Source organism: Homo sapiens, chromosome X (genome assembly GCF_000001405.40).
Source record: "Homo sapiens chromosome X, GRCh38.p14 Primary Assembly".
NCBI classification, from domain to species: domain Eukaryota; kingdom Metazoa; phylum Chordata; class Mammalia; order Primates; family Hominidae; genus Homo; species Homo sapiens.
Window position 1 is genome coordinate 139,579,345 of NC_000023.11, and position 17,604 is coordinate 139,596,948.

Consider the following 17,604-nt stretch of genomic DNA (forward strand, 5'->3'; position numbering starts at 1 on the left):
TTTGGATTTACTGATTTCTAAGATTACATCCTGAGACTATATGATTCCAATCTTTTGAAATTTATGAAGACTTGTTTTATGACACAGAAGGCAGCCTATCTTGGTGAATGTTCCATGTATACTTGAAAATAATGATGCATTCTGCAGTTGTTGGGTGTAGATTTTTAATAAATGTCAAATGGTTCAGGTTGTCAGTATACTAGATTTCGGATTACTAATTAAGTAATTCAATAATTATCTAAATAATTTAACAATTAGTGCAAAAAGCCTTTGAAAGATGACCCATATTAGAGTTATCAAACAAACAAATGAGAAGTGACTCCATTTGAGCAGTTCCCATGTGACCCAGCATTTCTATTAAGCCTCATTATCCCTAGATTTCATTTTATGTTACAAATAAAATTTGGAACCAAATAAGTTACACCTGGTGTGTTTAAACAGTCTACCATTACCTGGAATTCGAACAAACAAAAGACCAAAACTAGGATTTCAGAGGAAGTGTGTGCATGCAAGAATCATCTTATTTAACAATTCATTGATTTTCCTTTTCTGTGCTACCTTTTAACAGACAACTAAGTGTCACTTAGAGGAAAAAACTACAAGAAAACGGGTTTATATACAGAAATGTTACATACTATGGGTTAAGTTAATAGAAATGAACATCAGATTAGCTCCCAATGCTTCATACTACCTTCACACATAAGTCTTGGGTATAGACACAAGTGTGTTTGTGTATGTGTGTCTGTGTGTGTGTAGCAGAGACCTACCATAAAGAAATAACATGCTCCTAGGACAGTGTAGAACTACATACTAGTAAAGTATTCTTGGGCAGTAAGGCAGGTACCTTAAAAGCATATCCTCAGTATTTAATTCTGAAGGGTATCTTACAAAACACCATAGTATCTTCAATCTCTTTCAAGACTATCAACTTTATAGGGAAAAGTCTAATGTGCCTTTAAAATTTTCATTCATAAATTTAAAACTATTAAAGAAAAAAAATAAATTCTAGCTAACATAATGTGTTTGCTGCTTTATTTCTAACTGCAGAGAGGTCATTACTCTATGCCAATGTCCTCTTTGGTGAAGCTTTAACATTTTTAGTCTTCAAATTGTGTACAGTTTATTCATATTGTACCTGTAACTTTGGCATTCCGAAACCTATGGTCACCAATTAAAATATGTAAACTGTTTCCTAGAATCAGGCCTTCTTTTCTTCTGTTTAGATTTTTCACCAACCTAAATAATAAATGAATTAGTAGCCAACAATGGTAATACTAAGTGAATTAAAACAAATACATTACGTTGCAGCTCAAACTTTCACAAGGCTACTGCATGTGTTCAAAGACCTTCATGACACTGTGCATGAGTCCTTTAAGTAATCTACAAAGGACTTTGGTTATTAGAAAAAATTATTACTTTAATGATCCATCATTAACTTTTAATTCTCTGTGTACACTCTTCCACCTAAAGGGTTAGAGTACACAGTCAATGTAGCATTTCAGTTCAAGTTATTGACCCAATGAAGACAGAAATCTTACATTTAGAATATCCAAAAGAATTATGGAAGTTTCATTCAATCCGAACAATATTTTCTTCCTGCTTTGGGTTCTCTCCTACCTAAACAGTATATTTGGCAGAACCATCTTTACAACCAGTACTATATAAAGTCAAAGGCATAAGGGTAGAATGAGAAAGTCAATATTTGACCTGATAAACAGAAGTGTAGCTATGTTGTAAAGTAGTAAAGTGTGGTCTCTGGCACACAGTAGGCGTTCATTAAATATGTGGCTAATGAATGATTTAAATGACCAGATGGAATGTGATCTGTAGCCATTACAAAGCCCAGACGTATCAGCTAAAACATCTGAGCCAAAGGTAAACTACAAAAGAACATGCAGACTCATAGCATGTCATTCGTTCAAAGCATTTTTCACTCACCAAAGGTTAATGTTCCTTTCAGTGAGCTTTATAGGCAGTGCTGAAGCAATGAAAATGAAAGCCATCGCTGTGATATTTCTGCTTTTGGAGACTGTATAACAAAGATACAGATAAAGCAGAACATTTGATTAGCTATCTATGTGCCCCAGCTGGAGATCATCACAGGCTTTGCAAACACACCTACCATTGACCCTCAGCATTCCCATGGAGAAGCTGAATGACATCTCCATTTCTAATCAGGAGGTCTTCTGAGCCTCTCTTCCTGCAGTCTGCTAGGGATCTATATTTGCTTGGAGACTGTAAAGTTGTTTTAAAAAATTATATTACAAACTTGATTGCAAAACCACTTGCATAACTGCCTGCTCTGCAACATGAAGAATTAACTCTTTTCTTCACTGGTAAATGTGGTAGCTGCAGCAGCTTTGCAGGAACAGACAGACATGAAGCAGTATGTGATGGGGAACGAAAAAGGCAGAACAAGTTTATCTAACCTGAAGAATTAATTTTTATTTGAAAAAAAGAATTACAACATGAAATATACAGAAAATAGCAGAGCACAACTAATTTAAGTTACATTAATTATAAGCAGAAATCCAGAAAAAAAGTGTGAAAATATTAACTTTTAAATACGGCTTTTGTAAACTACTCTCATGAAAATTTTATCTGGGCACATACAGACAGTAGCCCTGAACAAAATTTACTCATGCCCCGAAAAGAATTTCTGGGCTTTGTATTGTTTCACACAAGTTAAAACAATGGGCACAAAAGCTGTGGTTTCAACAAAAGCATATTAAATCATAATGTTGTGCTTTACTTGACCTTAGCCATTTTGCAGCCGTAATTTTGACTTAATTCATTAATAAACTAAATAATCCAAGGCACACCGATTGCATTTGGTTACAAAGTAGAGAAGAAATAATTTTCAAGTCCAAAAGTATTCTGAGATGAGAATCTTTCAAGCACAATATCTGACACATTAAATACATGATTTTAAAAAGACAGCGTACCATAATTAAAAGCTTTATTAAATGAAAGAAAAGAAGTATGTGCTGTGGTTTCTTTGCGTGTCCATTAACCTGAAAACAACATCTGCATCATTTGAGCTCAATGTCTTTTGCGCAGTATTTTTCCAAATGAGCTGAGAAGCAGGCAGGAAAGAGCTACTTGCCATTTGACATAGTAGCTTCATCAATATAGGAGAGCCATCTCCGACACAGGTCTCTACAAGGGAAGCAGCACCCATTATTGCTCAGTTTACAACTTGACCAAGTGAAGCCAAAAGAGCAGGTCATTCCAGCTTCTTGTTTTGGCAGGGAAGAAGGGTGTATGGAATACATTGTGTTGCTCTTTTATATGTTTTCCTTAGTAGCACATCTCAGAGAATTATTGGACAAAGAGAGAGAAACTAATAGGTTTTTCTATATTCCCATCCTCTGTGATTAAAGCATTCTTCAATTTTGCATATTTACTTTATCTTCTGATACCATAGCTAGAAAAAAAAATGCCTACTTAAAACTGAGTTCTTTACAATGCCTTCATAGATCATCTACAGCAAACGGTTAAACACAAACTGGCTTCCTCTGACTTTTTGCTCGCATTTAACAACTACTACTATCCATTCCATCCCCAGCTAACATTAATTAAAGAAATTAAACTTCTTTTTATTATTAGTCTAAGCCTGAGATTCCCAAAGTGTGGGAGACAGACTGTTGTGGGTTCCTGAGACCCTTTCAAGGGGTCTGCAAGGTCAACCTACATTAAGACACTATTTGCCTTTTTCACTCTCATCCTCTCACAAGTACACAGTGGAGTTTTCTAGAGGATACTAGGTGTATGGTAGCACAACAAATTGAATGCAAAAGTGGATATGAGAATTCACCTTTTACTGAGCCAGAAGTTAAAGTGATTTACAAAAGTATTTCTTTTGTAAGTATTTAAGTATTTAAATCAGTCTTCTCACTGATTTTTATTTTGAAAAATGTAACTTTTTAAACAAAAATCTTATTGATATAAACTTACAATGGGTTTATTAATATTTTTAAACAATTATTACATTCAAAATTTTGTATTTCTTAGTTTTATCACATGGTAAATATCAATAGATGTAACCTATATACCATGGAATACTCTGCAGCCATAAAAAGAAATGCAATCATGTCCTTTGCAGCAAGGTGGATGCAGCTGGAAACCGTTATCCTAAGCAAATTAACGCAGGAACAGAAAACCAAATACCACGTGTTCTCACTTATAAGTGGGGGCTAAGCATTGGGTACACGTGGACACAAAGATGGGCACAATGAACACTGGGGACTACTAGAGGGAGGAAAGAGGGTTGGCAGAAGGGCTGAAAAACTACATGTTGGGTACTATGCTCACTACCTGGGTGACAGGACCATTCATACTCCAAATCTCAGCATCACGCAGTATTCCCATGTAACAAAACCTTACACATGTACCTCCTGAATCTAAAATAAAAGTTGAAAGTATTTTTTAAAAGATATAACCTACATAAACAAGAGTTCTTTGGGGTTTTCAATTTTCAAGGATGTAAAGGCTTCTTTCATTAAAAAGTTTGGGAACTGCAGGTATAGACAATTAACTCTGGACAAATATCTTACCAGATCTAAGTCTCAGTTTCCTCCTCTGTAAATTGAAGGTAATAAAGCCCGCTCTTTTTCATACTAATACTGTGAATATTAATTGAGAAATCATTTGGGAAACGGTAAACTATCACACAAATATGTATTATGGTCATCATAGTATTAGGAGAAACAATATCTACTTTTTTAAAGACTGCATTTCAGAGTCAATGCTGTACAGCTTTGTGATTATCCATGCCATTATCCTTTTTTTTTTTTTTTTTTTTTTTTGAGACAGAGTTTCGCTCTTGTTGCCCAGGCTGGAGTGCAAGGGCACTATCTCAGCTCACTGCAACCTGCACCTCCTGGGTTCAAGCGATTCTCCTGCCTCAGCCTCCTGAATAGCTGGGATTACAGGCATGCGCCACCACAACCGCCTAATTTTGTATTTTTAGTAGAGACGAGGTTTACCCTCTTATACTAACAGTAGAACTGCCAAATGTAATTGATTCCTCTGAAGGGCACCAAGGAGCACTCTACCTCCAAGCATCACTCCTACCTTCCAAGCTGGTGACTTTAGAAAAGTAGGGATTTACTCCCAAACAGTCCTACCTCCTCTTTAATAGCCCACTGGTATCCTACCAACTTGCAAACTATTCCTTCTATAAACACTTTAACCTTAAAGCAACCTCCTTTAATTTTACAGGGTGCTCCCTTGCTCTAATATGCTGAGATTTTATATCATTAGTGTATTTTTGAGAACACACTAAAATATATCCCCCAGATGTTATTAAATCGTTTTTAATGTATAATGCTTATTTCCTTTATTTTCTAATCTGGAATCCAAACTGGTTTTTAAAGTGTATTTGAAGCCCCTTTGTTCTCTGATTTTATTTCACATGCCTGGATGGAAAACACAGTGGTGAAGCTCTACTAAAGATAAAACTGGGATTTTAGAGATTTGGAAAGATTGACTATCTATTTCATCAACATCAGCAGAAGCTCTATGTATAGGTCAAACAGGTTCTACTTAAAGACAGAAGTGCTTCCTGATGTTCATAATAAGATTTATTTCAACTATTTTAGCAATGGCTTACTCCTAATGGCCTCAAGGATGCTGACAAAAGATTGCCCCTATGTGCTCCACCTATATTTCATCAGTAAAACTGCCTCAATAATTTTAATTTACTATATTATTACTAACCATGAGGGGCCTATTTTCTTCTTCATTTTCATCATAAGTAGGGTAGAAATAGTTGCTTGACCATTCCGCAGGTTCTTCAGAGATTTCTGCAGATTGTGATGCCTCAGTCCAAACTATAAGAAAAGTGTGGAATGTGGCAGTTACTTCATGGTGCTAATTTACCACAAGGTGAGAAGTAAAACTAGCTGTAATCCTTTAAAAAGTTGAATTTAAAAAAATGGATTAACCAATCTAATGTAAGCAGCAAATTAACAGATCTCATCCTGGCCACATTAAACTATTCATGCAACCTGGGAAAAGTCATTGTCATCTTTTTCTAACTTGGTTTCCTCACCTGTCAAATGAAGGCATTAGTACTATGCTCTCTCCTTACTTCTTTGGGGGCCACAGCATAGATGACCTGAGGGAAGTGACCTTTAATTGGATAAATGGAAACTCTACAAGGCTATCATTACCTTTTTCTCCTCAACCAGTAGAGAACTCTTCCATATTAAGGATCATCATATTAAAGTGTTGAGTATCAGGCACTCTGTTAGGCATTTCTCCAAAGAAGTCTATGCTGTTGATCCTAGAGTTGTTTAGGTGATCCTCATGTATGCTTCTACAGCACTTCGTACTTCCCTGCTGTAACACTCGCCAAATTTACTTTTAATTGCTTGTTTAACTATCTTTCTATTCTCCTAGCTTCATGAGGATGGCAGCTGAGTGTATCCTAGTTAGACTATATGCCTAGCACTTTGCATAACTCCTGGAATGCAGATCATGCTATGTCAATATTTGTTGAATTAAATAAAGTATTTAAAATCACTTCAAATAAAACCATTCACAGAGGAAGAATAAATATTTCGGCTGTTAATGACTCTTCTCTATTCATTAAACCAACGGTAAGTGAAATGCGCATTCCTTGAAGCCAGTATATATGTTTTATTCATCACTATATCCTTTATAGCAGGGGTTCCCAAACTTGACCATGCATCAAAATCACAGAGAGAGCCTGTTAAAACTCAAGTGGCTGGGCCTTGTTCCCAGAGTTTCTGATCCAGAAGGTCTGAATAGAGCAAGAGAATTTGTCTTCTGTAAAAGTTTCCAGGTGATGTTGATTCTAGTGGTCCAGGGACCACACTTTGACAACCAATACTCTCTAGTGCCCATCAGAGTGTCCTGCATATGCAAGACATGAGAGCCTTATAAAAATGGGTTAACTGTATTTTGTTTATACAAAAATACCAAGTGGGTAGATTTCCAAATTAATAATACGAGGTAAAAATTTGCACACCCATGAGTCTCGTCTTAAGATGACCATGACACATACCTGTATTTGCTTCTGCCTGAACTGACGCAATTGCCTCACAGACCTCCACCACAGTGCTGGTGTGTTCCAATTCAGTTTCCTCAGTACTTATAAAAGCTCCCTGTTGCTTTCTGAAATAGTGATGTATAAAACTAAGTGAGCTTTTGTACAGTTTACAAGTAAAAAGAAATTTAAAGTGGTATTTCTTCCATTGATACCAAGTGTTAAGAACATGCTGAGAATCCATCCAAACAGCCAATACTCCCTATTTAAATCTGTGTGGCAATAGGTTATAATATACAAAAGCTTAAATCTCAGATCCAAGCCAGCAGGTTCTCTATTATGTAAGGAGAAAAACTACTCCCTTCTAGACCCAAAGTAAGGGTATTGTATACAATCCCCGTTGCTCTGTGGACTTATAACATTAATGAATTAGGTAAGTTGTTGTATATAAATGAAGATGAAACCTTCAACTGATTCATATTGTTGAGTATGTACCAGCTACTATTAAGTCAATTACTGCATAAAACCTAAAGATGTTACTCCTATAATGTACGATAAAAGATGGAGCTTTTTGAACTCTGAAAGATAAAGACTTTATCTGCAACTTTTAAATGGTTCTCCTAAATCTCCACGTGAACCACCATATGTTTCATCTGATTTTAGCTACCTCAGAAAGATGACATGCAGCGAAGGAAAAAACAGTATTTCTAATAAGTCATTCAATGATCACCACAGCAAGCAGATGCTGTGTGGTGAATCTCTGTGCCAGGCCTTCAGAATCAATGAGAGAATTCTTTCTGTATATATGCAAATGTTCAGCGAGAACTCCACCTTTTGGAATTTCTAGAGGCTTCCTTAATGACTCCTGGTTGTGTCCAGGCTCAGTTCCCTCCCAGGATCCATACCTTCTCTCTATGTAGAGAGAGGCCAAATCACCAGCAAGAGGTCCCCATCAAGGGACTGTAAAACTGTGAGCCAGTCCTTCATTTGCTCTATTCCCATATTCTTACAACCCTCTTTTTCCAGTCAGATCAAAGGTGACCAAAAATACTTTGAAAAAAAAAGCTTATGAGCACAGCCTCCTTTCCTGTCAGCCTACATGTAATTCTTCCAATGATATATTAAAAATAAAGCATTTTCAATCATGTTTAGAAATCAACCCAAGGGATAACTATTAAGAACTATCAGCCTCCAGTATAAGGCTGGACCTCAGAAAATGATGTTTATGGAATTTGATGAGTTATTGCTAAATTGGTGGATGGTTCTTGTCAGAGATACTTTAATTACATTGCTTCATGTTACATACAGAAAACAAAAGATTGCAGGAGTGGTATTTCTTAAAGAATAATCACTTACTCATCATTCTGCTGAAGAGAAATCTGAAACTTATCCCGTTCTGTTAATTGATCCTGTTGCTTTCTTTTTTTAACTGAGAAATAAAACAAAGCATATTATCATTCAGAAGTCACACTTCTTACTTCCTTGAAGGCCAATGACTTTCTCTCTCTCACACACACACACACACACACACACGCATCCTTGCCATTAGACTTAAGCTTCACAGACTTGAAATAATCAGAGGGAAGGCCAGTCTCAAGTTTGAATTTGGAAAGGTCTGGACCATATAATATTTTATTCAAGAAGTTCAAGTTTAGAAGTAGAACTGGCTCCCATTCCATCATTATAGAGCAATGATTACTCGAGATATTAAGCAGAGTCACCTCATGGAAAGGACTGGGGATTACCACAATCAGTTCACTGTGTTGCTTCTCAACTGCTTCTTAAGCACAAGGGTTCATTTTCTAGTGTAAAGTTCATTCTTCAAAATAGTTTAAACAATCCTCTGAATCTCAATCTCCTACTAATTAAATTAACAAATCTTCTCATTGTAATAGTATAAAGTAAATATCAGCCCCATTCTCTGGAAAAATAATTTAAAAATCTGAGTCAATAAGCTGTTACTATACTTCTTGTTCTGAAGAATGCAGGCTTGAATTTACCTGTCAAAAGTTCCTGCTGCTTCAACAAAATATTTCTTATTTCTTTTAGCCACGTCATCTTCACATCTACATTAGAAGCCTAAAGATTAAAAAAAAAGCGGGAGGGAGGTGGTACACATTTCCTTTTAAAAAGGATGTACTATAATAAAACAAATGTAATTGTGTACATAAAATATGATCTACTCCCTATAACACCATACTCAAATCTTAACCGTTTGATTGTTAAAATTTTTATGAAGCAAATAATTTGCTATCAGATTAGATGAAATAATACAGTCAGAACCATTTTTGCTGTAATCCCAGGACTTTGGGAGGCCAAGGTGGGCAGATCTCTTGAGCCCAGGAGTTTGAGACCAGCCTGGGGAACATAGGGAAACCCCATCTCTACTACTACTACTACTACTAATAATAATAATAATAATTAGCCAGGTGTGGTGGCATGTGCCTGTAGTCCCAGCTACTTGAGAGGGTGAGGTGGGAGAATCGCTTGAGCCTGGGAGGCAGAGGTTGAAGTGAGCCGAGATCACACCACTGCACTCCAGCCTGAGCAACAGGGTGAGACGCTGTCTCAAAAAAAAAAAATCCATTTTGAAATTGCCCTTAAATAATGGTAAAATAATGCTTGGATGAAACTGTGAAATATAATTTCACTTATTTTGTCTTTACAGGAGGATTCTTTTTAAAATATAACATTTTGATGTTTAATTTTAGTAAAATAAAACAAGCTCTACTATTTCTGAAAAGGCCATCTATTGCAGAATAACCTTGGTGACTGATGGTAACATGAAATCCTCCTTAAATATCCTCCCATCACTTACAAGATGTTTGTTAAATGATACCAAATATTATATCTTAAGCAAGCCAAGAAAACATATTTTTATAGATTGCAGTCACCTAGTAAAGAATTACAACAAACAAAAAACACTGAGCATTTTTAACAGATAACAGCACATTGACAACTCCAGATACAAATATTTATTGCAATGACAACATCCTCTTGAAATGTTCTGATTCCTCTTCCCTTCCCTGAAACATGTTGGACCCTATACAACTGGCCAGGGCTTTAACCATGTTCTTTAGAAGCAGAAAGCAAGTCTGAACTGTCACATCCCCATGTCTCATAATCAGGTACCCCTAGAATGCTTAGCATAAGAGGAACTCAGAACTATTATAATTCCATAACTTGGAAATTTGATGGGGACAGAGAAGTACCTGCCAAGCTGTCAGCTCTAGTTGATAAGTCTCTTATGTAGTTGTGAAAACTTGAAGCCCTAGAGAACACCACAGGCATATCTCAATGTAACTACTAGAAAACATTTAAATACATCACAAAGAATATTCAAATAATATTTAACTGACCTACATGAAAGGGGTGGAAATTTTGAAATGCGACCAAAATTATTTTTGTTTATAAATTCGGGCTTTTGTATTTCAATGCAGGTTTGGGTTTCTAGAAGAATTTTCAAATGACCAACCTGGACAATATAAACTTCTTCCTTTTCACCATACCAGATTTCAAACTTGCGGTTATCACCTTTTACATATTCAGTGATTCCAACTTCATCCATCTATAATAAATAAGTCAAAATTTTCATGAGCATTTTATTTTGAATATGAAATTACATTAAATCTACCCTATCATATTCTAAGTGAAACAGAATTTCTCTTGGGCAGAAAAATACATGTTATATTAAATGAATATGAAATAGTAATTACAATCATAGACGAGAGTATTTAAATGTTTTCATTGAACTATGCACTTTATAGTTCAGATTGCACGCTTCATTTCAGTGGTTGACACAAATGTTATAAATCTGAACATCCAAGTAGCCCATCTAAGATCTAATTATGTTATAAATTAATAGTACACTATTAAAACAAATTATTGAGTCAAACACAGAAGTCATTAAACATCAATAAAGAAAAGCCACTGAAAATTAATTTAAATAGTTATTTAGAATAATCATTTGACAGACCACTTAATCCTACAAATTATAATTTATTTTGATAGAAGTCCTACAAGTTATAAACATCTAATTCATGGGACAGGAGAGAACCAGCCAGGTACACAAGGATCTCTCTATTTTCCACCAATCCCTTGGCCTTTCTAAAAAAAAAATAATAATAATAATATGTAATGGGACATTGTTGTCTTTTTGTACCCAGTGAAACTTCTGTACACAATATCTCTTCCTTATTCCTTACCACAATTTTTTCTTTTCCTCAGCGTGATTGTGCAAGTCATAAACTCTTCCATTTTCTTTCATCATTTTCTGCTAACAGCTTGGCTAATTGCATTTTGGGCAATCTCACTCCTTTGCACAAACATTCTTTTAGTTCCTTTCTGCCTTCCTCTTTTCTTTCAATTCTTAACCTAATTATCTAAAGGAGTATCTCACTCTCTGTTCTAGTTATGAGCCCCCCAAATGGCCCTTATTAGAGCTAATAAGCATTAAAGATAGTGCTAGGGAGATCGCCATACCAAGGAGAAGAAAAGCACTTATGCTTAGAAATGTAATTTAACATAACATATTAATGAAAGAACCTGTAACATCCACCCTGAACGTAGTAAGAAGTTATTTTCACAATGTCCCAAACTATCTTTATATTCTCACTCCATCATTCCAACTAACCTACTTCTGCTCAAATATCACAATTTAAGATGAATAGTAATCTCATATTCAATATTTTTAAAAATTAATTTTGTTTCATTACATGGTTTTGTCTTAATAACATGATAAGCTGGAAGGCCCACAGGCTTTGAAGTTAGAGAGGTCTGGATTGGAATACATCTCTACCATTCACTAGCTATGTGTCTTGGTGCAAGTTGCTTAACTTTTCTAAACTTCAGTTTCCTCAACTATAAAATAGAAAGAACACCTATTTCATAGGGTTGATATAAGGACTAAATAGCATGGAGTAAATGCTTAGATCCTATAATGAGCTTTCTAAAGTGTGAGTTTGCTTTCTACTCTTTCCCCTATTTAAGTTGCAATTGTTTTGTTATTTTTTTATTGCAAACATATAGTACATCATTATCAATTAAGTGAACTTTTCTAAGTTGCCCTGGAAATCTAACCATTATGTGTTGCACATAGTAAGGACTATGTGCAATTTGTAAAATTTTTAAAAATCGATGATAATAAACACATGAACTAAGGAATCTGAAGGACTCGAATCTCCCCATCTGGTCAACTTTGACTTTAGATAGGGCCTTTCCTTGCATATAAGCAGCCAACTTAAAATATAACATATAAATAATTAGAAAGTACATGGTCAGGCCATGGGATCCCAGCTTTGTATGGTGCAGTCAAAACAAGAGTTCATTTAAAGTGAGAGACATAGACAAAGGCAACAACAGACACTGGGGACTACCAGAGGAGGGACGGAGGGAGAGGGACAAGGGTTGGAAAACTAACTCTTGGGGACAATGCTCAGTACCTGGGTGATGGGATATTTGTGCCCCAAACCTAAACATCATGCAATACAGCCAGGTAACAAACCTGCAGATGTACCCCCTGAATCTAAAATAAAAGTTAAAAAAAAAAGTGAGAGAGAAGGTTCAGCAGTGGAATATCTGCAATGATCCTCTCTACCAAGGGTAAGACTGTGAAACTAATAACCCAGATTCTTAAATAACACATTGACTAGGAATGCTAGCAATTGCTTAATGCTGGAATCTCATGATAAGCAGGCAAGCAGAAGTGAGCGTAGTGAACCCTAAGAAATATCCTAATTTTTAGTGGTATCACCATTTTCCAAGTAATCCTGGTCTAAAGCCTTGTAGGCATCACTGGCTAATATTGTTTATTAAGGATACTTGGCATTACTGGGGAACCAAAGAAGAATCAGAAAGATTTTCTTCCTTCAATGTCAGGTATTATTTAATTTTTGTAGCTAGTAAGTCATCAAGCCCATCTGTCTACCTTCTATTGAAATGTTTCTTGAATCTATCCCACCTTCTCTGTTTCCATGGTACCTATTGCAGTTTCAGTTTTCATGACTTAATCACCTAATATCCCCCTTACTTTAATGTACTCAAGAAACATTTTGTTGGCATGTCCATCATTGTAACAAATTAAAGGTAAAATAGAAAATTAATATGAAATAGAAATACTATATTAGGTAGAAATTAGGTCACCTCATGATAAAATGTACATCAAATGCATTTGGGTCAAATATGCCTATGAAGGTAAAGTACCTTCCCAAGGAATAGGTATACAGACAGCAAGAGATTTGAACCCTCTCTGACATGGATTACAAATTTATGGTTCTCAATCTATGTTTATTAATTACTTAGAAGGCCCTTTGAGATTTGGGGGCTTAGAGGTGGACTGCTAAAATCAAAGGAGCAACTGGCCCTTTGTGACGAAACCAAGAGTTTTAAAGAAGCTGCTGTGGGTTCAGAGTGAAGCAGGGAAAATACACAATAGGAAGAACTACTTCTTTTTGACCCGACCCTGGGCAGGAACCTTGTTGGGAACAACTAGGGGCTGCTGATCCTATGGGAAGAATCAAAAGCAAGGCCTGCTTACAGGTAGTCTCCTAATACAAATACCTCATGCCTGTCTCAAAACATATTGCCTGTCCTCTTTATAACTGCTACTGAAAATTTCATCAATTGTCAAATATACTGGTGATGAGAACTATGAAAGAACATGCTCATGAAAAGTAACTAACATGATAGTGGTTGGGGAATTAAGGACAATCGTTTTCTCTATTTTTGAAATTTTTTGTGACAAATGTTATATTGGTTTTAGAATTTAAAATTCAAGGAATTTATCCATTTCTTCTAGATTTTCTAGTTTATTTGCATAGAGGTGTTTATAGTATTCTCTGATGGTAGTTTGTATTTCTGTGGGATTGGTAGTGATATCCCCTTTATCATTTTTTATTGCGTCTATTTGATTCTTCTCTCTTTTCTTCTTTATTAGTCTTGCTAGCAGTTTATCAATTTTGTTGATCCTTTCAAAAAACCAGCTCCTGAATCTCTGAATAGACCAATAACAGGCTCTGAAATTGGGGCAATAATCAATAGCTTACCAACCAAAAAGAGCCCAGGACCAGATGGATTCACAGCCGAATTCTACCAGAGGTACAAGGAGGAACTGGTACCATTCCTTCTGAAACTATTCCAATCAATAGAAAAAGAAGGAATCCTCCCTAACTCATTTTATGAGGCCAGCATCATCCTGATACCAAAGCCGGGCAGAGACACAACCAAAAAAGAGAATTTTAGACCAATATCCTTGATGAACATTGATGCAAAAATCTTCAATAAAATACTGGCAAACCGAATCCAGCAGCACATCAAAAAGCTTATCCACCATGATCAAGCGGGCTTCATCCCTGGGATGCAAGGCTGGTTCAATATACGCAAATCGATAAATGTAATCCAGCATATAAACAGAACCAAACACAAAAACCACATGATTATCTCAATAGAAATATTATATCTAGAAAACCCCATTGTCTCAGCCCAAAATCTCCTTAAGCTGATAAGCAACTTCAGCAAAGTCTCAGGATACAAAATCAATGTACAAAAATCACAAGCATTCTTATACACCAATAACAGACAAACAGAGAGCCAAATCATGAATGAACTCCCATTCACAATTGCTACAAAGAGAATAAAATACCTAGGAATCCAACTTACAAGGGACATGAAGGACCTCTTCAAGGAGAACTACAAACCACTGCTCAATGAAATAAAAGAGGATATAAAGAAATGGAAGAACATTCCATGCTCATGGGTAGGAAGAATCAATATCGTGAAAATGGCCATACTGCCCAAGGTAATTTATAGATTCAATGCCATCCCCATCAAGCTACCAATGACTTTCTTCACAGAATTGGAAAAAACTACTTTAAAGTTCATATGGAACCAAAAAAGAGCCCGCACCGCCAAGTCAATCCTAAGCCAAAAGAACAAAGCTGGAGGCATCACGCTACCTGACTTCAAACTATACTACAAGGCTACACTAACCAAAACAGCATGGTACTGGTGCCAAAACAGAGATATAGATCAATGGAACAGAACAGAGCACTCAGAAATAATGCCGCATATCTACAACTATCTGATCTTTGACAAACCTGACAAAAACAAGCAATGGGGAAAGGATTCCCTATTTAATAAATGGTGCTGGGAAAACTGGCTAGCCATATGTAGAAAGCTGAAACTGGATCCCTTCCTTACACCTTATACAAAAATTAATTCAAGATGGATTGAAGACTTAAATGTTAGACCTAAAACTATAAAAATCCTAGAAGAAAACCTAGGCATTACCATTCAGGACATAGGCATGGGCAAGGACTTCATGTCTAAAACACCAAAAGCAATGGCAACAAAAGCCAAAATTGACAAATGGGATCTAATTAAACTAAAGAGCTTCTGCACAGCAAAAGAAACTACCATCAGAGTGAACAGGCAACCTACAGAATGGGAGAAAATTTTCGCAACCTACTCACCTGACAAAGGGCTAATATCCAGAATCTACAATGAATTCAAACAAATTTACAAGAAAAAAACAAATAACCCCATCAAAAAGTGGGCGAAGGACATGAACAGACACTTCTCAAAAGAAGACATTTATGCAGCCAAAAAACACATGACAAAATGCTCACCATCACTGGCCATCAGAGAAATGCAAATCAAAACCACAATGAGATATCATCTCACACCAGTTAGAATGGCAATCATTAAAAAGTCAGGAAACAACAGGTGCTGGAGAGGATGTGGAGAAATAGGAACACTTTTACACTGTTAGTGGGACTGTAAACTAGTTCAACCATTGTGGAAGTCAGTGTGGCGATTCCTCAGGGATCTAGAACTAGAAATACCATTTGACCCAGCCATCCCATTACTGGGTATATACCCAAAGGACTATAAATCATGCTGCTATAAAGACACATGCACACATGTATTTATTGCAGCACTATTCACAATAGCAAAGACTTGGAATCAACCCAAATGTCCAACAATGATAGACTGGATTAAGAAAATGTGGCACATATACACCATGGAATACTATGCAGCCATAAAATATGATGAGTTCATGTCCTTTGTAGGGACATGGATGAAATTGGAAATCATCATTCTCAGTAAACTATCGCAAGAACAAAAAACCAAACACCACATCTTCTCACTCATAGGTGGGAATTGAACAATGAGAACACATGGACACAGGAAGGGGAACATCACACTCCGGGGACTGTTGTGGGGTGGGGGGAGGGGGGAGGGATAGCTTTAGGAGATATACCTAATGCTAAATGATGAGTTAATGGGTGCAGCACACCAGCGTGGCACATGTATACATATGTAACTAACCTGCACATTGTGCACATGTACCCTAAAACTTAAAGTATAATAATAATAAAATAAAAAAATAAAAAATAAAAAAAAATTTAAAATTCAAAAGATGAAATGCATTAGATGTAAAAAAATTCAAATTTGTCAATTATGGGTCTCATGTGAATTGGAAGTTCTTCTTCTCTATTGGAGAAACCAGCTGTAAGTATCATTGGGTTGTCAATAACTTCCCCAAACAATACTGTTCTCTTTTTAATAACAAACTAATATTAGGACAAAATGGGGATTTTGTTTATAGGAGAGAATAAAGTAATTTTGAAAGACGGAACAGGACAGATAAGGAAAGGATTCAGCTATAGGTGGCTTTGAACACCCAGGTAGGGTGGAGCTAGGGAGTGGAGGAGGAACACAGAAAGGAAGGTGGGGACATGCTAAACACAAAAGTTACCCATTTTTAAATTGCATTGAGGAAAAGGAGGAAACTCTTTCCTCCCTGTCTCTCCTGTAGCATAAGGCTCCTTTCTAACAAGACCAAGAACTCCACCCAGTGTCACTCGAAAGAGAGTGCTTATGAGGAGGCTGGGACACTCCTTATCATTTCAAACTGTGCTCTTCAGGACGCTAGGGAGCCCCCTTGGGGAATACCTAGGATCGTAGTGAGAAGAAAGGGAGGAATCAAAGCTCTGAATTACCTCACCTTCACTTCAAGCAGAGAAGTTATGATTCATCTGACTTCTACATAAGACTTAAGATTTTTTAAAAAAAACAAAGATGTGCAGCGAAAGTATAAAACCTACTCATTTGAAACAAAAAAAATGTACAAACTGGGAGACACACACACACGAAACAATACTACATTACCCGATACAAATTGTCTTACTTTCCAACAGTGTTTAAAACTGTATGACGGGTATCTGTCAGAGCCTTCTCCACTTTCAACACGCCTTTTGCAAAAAACAATGGCTTTTTCATACAAGAAAAGGTGTCGCTGCATTGGTTTGAATCTAGCCAAATCCTTCATTTTTGTAGCACCTTTCTTGTGCCCTATCCAAACGCTGAATCCACCTTGCATTATCATCTTGCCCAGTTCATTTAAGTTTCCCTAGAATGGAAAATCAAAACCCATTAGTAGAAAGCAAAGCTACATTCAGCTCTCTGACACCAACATGTTAGGGTTCAGCTTAAGCTACTCAAACCCTGAAGAATAATTTATGTTTTTTTAAAAACTTAACTTTGTATGTTAAAACATGGCATGCACCACATAAGTACAAAATTACTGT

The 17,604-nt window shown here is 36.2% G+C and overlaps 1 protein-coding gene across 15 annotated transcripts in view; it reads right to left on the minus strand.

Moving 5' to 3' along the window:
* Positions 2,426–17,604, minus strand: part of MCF2 (MCF.2 cell line derived transforming sequence) — a 126,398-nt gene continuing 111,219 nt past the window's right edge. For 8 of the 15 annotated variants that reach the window (NM_001099855.2, NM_001171876.2, XM_005262413.5 and 5 more), the window contains 7 exons: positions 17,205–17,426; positions 10,491–10,583; positions 9,016–9,094; positions 8,372–8,444; positions 7,034–7,143; positions 5,722–5,834; positions 2,426–3,159 (listed from right to left, as the gene is read on the minus strand). In NM_001099855.2, coding sequence (NP_001093325.1) covers positions 3,127–3,159; positions 5,722–5,834; positions 7,034–7,143; positions 8,372–8,444; positions 9,016–9,094; positions 10,491–10,583; positions 17,205–17,426 — 723 coding nt within the window. In that variant the 3' untranslated portion in view covers positions 2,426–3,126. Of the gene's footprint in view, positions 3,428–5,721; positions 5,835–7,033; positions 7,144–8,371; positions 8,445–9,015; positions 9,095–10,490; positions 10,584–17,204; positions 17,427–17,604 lie in introns of all 15 variants that reach the window. The other 7 variants (XM_047442112.1, XM_047442111.1, NM_001171877.2 and 4 more) reach the window with 2 other exon arrangements.